This window comes from Homo sapiens, chromosome 18 (genome assembly GCF_000001405.40).
Source record: "Homo sapiens chromosome 18, GRCh38.p14 Primary Assembly".
Taxonomy (NCBI): Eukaryota; Metazoa; Chordata; class Mammalia; order Primates; family Hominidae; genus Homo; species Homo sapiens.
The window spans coordinates 51,660,801-51,663,912 of record NC_000018.10 but is presented as its reverse complement, the minus strand read 5'-3'; the positions used below and the strand labels follow the sequence as shown (position 1 = coordinate 51,663,912).

At 40.8% G+C, this 3,112-nt stretch overlaps 1 annotated feature.

Moving 5' to 3' along the window:
* Positions 2,521-2,709: a silencer, noted in NCBI's record as "fragment chr18:49187574-49187762 (GRCh37/hg19 assembly coordinates)". NCBI's record gives its function as "represses an EF-1alpha promoter that drives an FKBP-Casp9 reporter gene in an ReSE screen in K562 erythroleukemia cells {active_cell/tissue: K562}" and the evidence as "EXISTENCE:reporter gene assay evidence [ECO:0000049][PMID:32094911]".

Below are 3,112 nucleotides of genomic sequence, written 5' to 3'. Positions count from 1 at the left end.
AATGGATTTTTGTTTAAATTTCTCTGCAGACAATATAGATAGAACTGGAGGTCATTATGATAAGTGAAATAAGCTAGGCAACAAAAAGACAGACTTTACATGTTCTCACTTATTTCTGGAAGTTAAAAATCAAAATAATTGAACTCATGGAGATACAGAATAGGATTGTTACCAGAGGCTGGGAAGGGTAGTGGGTGGCAGGGTGGAGATGGATGGCTAATCGATACAAAAAAATAGAAAGAATGAATAAGATCTAGTATTTGATAGAACAACAGGGTGACTATAGTCAACAATAATTTAATTGTACATTTAAAAATAACTAGAGAGTATAATTGTATTGTTTGTAACAAAAGGATAAATGCTTGAGGGGATGGATACCCCATTTACCATGATGTGATTATTATGCATTGCATGCCTGTATCAAAGTATCTCATGTACCCGATAAGTATATGTACCCACTATGTACCAACAAAAATTAAAATTTTAAAAAAGTAAAATAAATTTCATTGCAGTATTTTTTAAATAACTGATGAAAGTACGTGCTTTATATTACCAAAAAGGAATTTATTAAATATTTTTGCCTTAGTGGAAAGAACCCAAAATTTTGTCTCATGGTATTTTATCGTCAAAAGGTGATGTCCGTTTAACTCCAGGGCCTGAAAATCTCCTACTCCTCTGCCTTCCTCGTGTATCTTGAACAGTCCAAATCTATAAACTGGCTCTAATTGTTTCGAAAGTGGGCAGCAGGCAGAGTTGGAATACATTCAAATTCAAATGCCCAAGTTCACCTTCCTGCTTTAATGAATATAATTGAATATTTCAGCTTTGATCATGATTTGTAAGGCCACAGGGTCATCATCCTAAATATCAGTGCTCTTTGTCCCCCGCAGAGAGAGACAGATGACTGAAGATGGCTGTTCCACTGAGTCTAGCACTTGCACACACAATTGTGGACTATTTGGCTTATACATTTTTAAGAATTCCCTTTGATTAATACAAGCAAATCCTTGTGGTCTAATCATTTCCCAAGGGGATGCAAATTCTTCCAACTTGGGTCTCTTCCTCCTAATGGAGGAGCCTCCTCAAGACAACGAGCCTTGTCTCTAGGATTGGTCTGCTTATCATCACCACCCAGACCGGACGCCTGAGAGCCGTCTTCTGTCTCGCCAACATCCACCCCATTCACCAGCTCTGCCAGTTCTCCTTCCTCGGTGACTCTGGCCCCTCTGCTCCTTTCTATCCCCCTTTGCCACTGTTCTTGGGAAGTCTTTCCCACCTGGGCTATGGCTATAACATTCTAATTGGCCTCTCTGCCTCTCATCTAATTCTCTTCTAACCCAGTCCCCACCATTTCCAGAATGATCCTTCAAAAATGCACAGTCCTGTTTAAAATCTGCAGCAATTTTCAATCAGCTGGAAGATCAGGTCTCAAATCTTTAGCACCTCCTGTTTGGATTTGGTTTTCCTCTCTAGTCTTCTCTTTCATCAAAATCCTAACATCCTTCAGAACTCGTAATTATAAAAATGCTTTTAGTTTCCCTAAACAGCTTCATTCCCTCTGTGCTTTTATACAAATGCTCCCTATGCTTTGACCAAGCTACAGCCTCTCCCATCAATGATCTTCATTATTTTTCAAGATTCAACTCAAGCATCAGTTTCATTGGCTTGTCTTCCCGACTATCTCCACCAGTGCTAGACTGGGTGCTTCTATCCTCCTCACTCCCATAGACTCCTACCTTCCCTCCATCCCCTTATCCTGCTGAATCATAACTTTTAGACTTATGCCTTGCAACACACATGTGCCCATGTGCACATGCACACACATATATAATAATGAATCCTTTACCCATTTTATTCCATGTACCTAGCGTAGTGTTGCATGGTACAGTAAACATTAACAAAATCTGAATTAAATTAATAAAATAATAAGCTTATTAATGTATGAATGAATAAATTAAGGTTTGAGGTTTATTGGGCCCTGACCATGTGAGATGTTAATATAAGGAGCTAAATGCATATAGCAATATATTTCCTCTTTAAATCCTTTAAACAGCCATTCATTTTTTCCCTCTCCACAAAGGCCTTTCATTTAAAACTTCCCACATAAGAACTTCTATCAATTGAACAAAGCCAGAACCCATGGCAGAGGTATATAAACTCTACCCATTAACAACCAATGGCATTAGCAGCTACTTTTATACCAACACTTTTAACTCTTGGAACAAACTGACTTCAATAATCTTTTCTAATCCAGACTTTTCAAAAGTCAAGACATTTGTCTAGTACATACCTGTACAGAAGCCTCAAAGAGTAAGCGCTTTCCAAAAACCCTTCTTCACCACCAGGGACTATTGAAACATGTGGAATGCTAGTGCAAAGGAAATAGAACCAGAGGGTCCACCTCACTTTGGCACAGAGCCTGACCTACTCAAATGCTGAGAAGAGCTTCATGGTGCAGTATGATTTAGAGAGGCTTTGGGAAGGCCTTCCTGTTTCAACATGTCTCCCCACCCAAGGACCACAATCTTTGATCTCCATCAACAGAAACATCCCCCTTGAGGTTCCACATTCATCTTTATTTTATTTTATTTTATTTTTTTTTTTGTGAGACAGAGTCTCACTCTGTCGCCTAGGCTGGAGTGCAGTGGTGCAATCTCGGCTCACTGCAACCTCCACCTCCCGGGTTCAAGCAATTCTCCTGCCTCAGCCTCCTGGAGTAGCTGGGATTACAGGCACACACCACCAGCCCAGCTAATTTTTTAATTTTTAGTAGAGATGGGGTTTCACCATGTTGGTAAGCCTGGTCTCGAACTCCTGACTTCGTGATCTGCCCACCTCAGCCTCCCAAAGTGCTGGGATTACAGGTGTAAGCCACTGTGCCTGGCCCACATTCATCTTTCTAATAGCAAGTGTTCCTAGGAGGGGCAGTAAGGCAAACTGCTACCACCCAACACATGAATCACTCTCTCCAGAACAAGAGGTCCCTCATGTAGCCCAAGGGTACAATGGGAACTTGGAACAGAAAGAAAAGACATAGAAAGGGCTGCAGGCCACCACAGTTACACCTGACTTACCTTCACAGCCATGCTTGTCCTGGTTCCCTTGCCGTCTG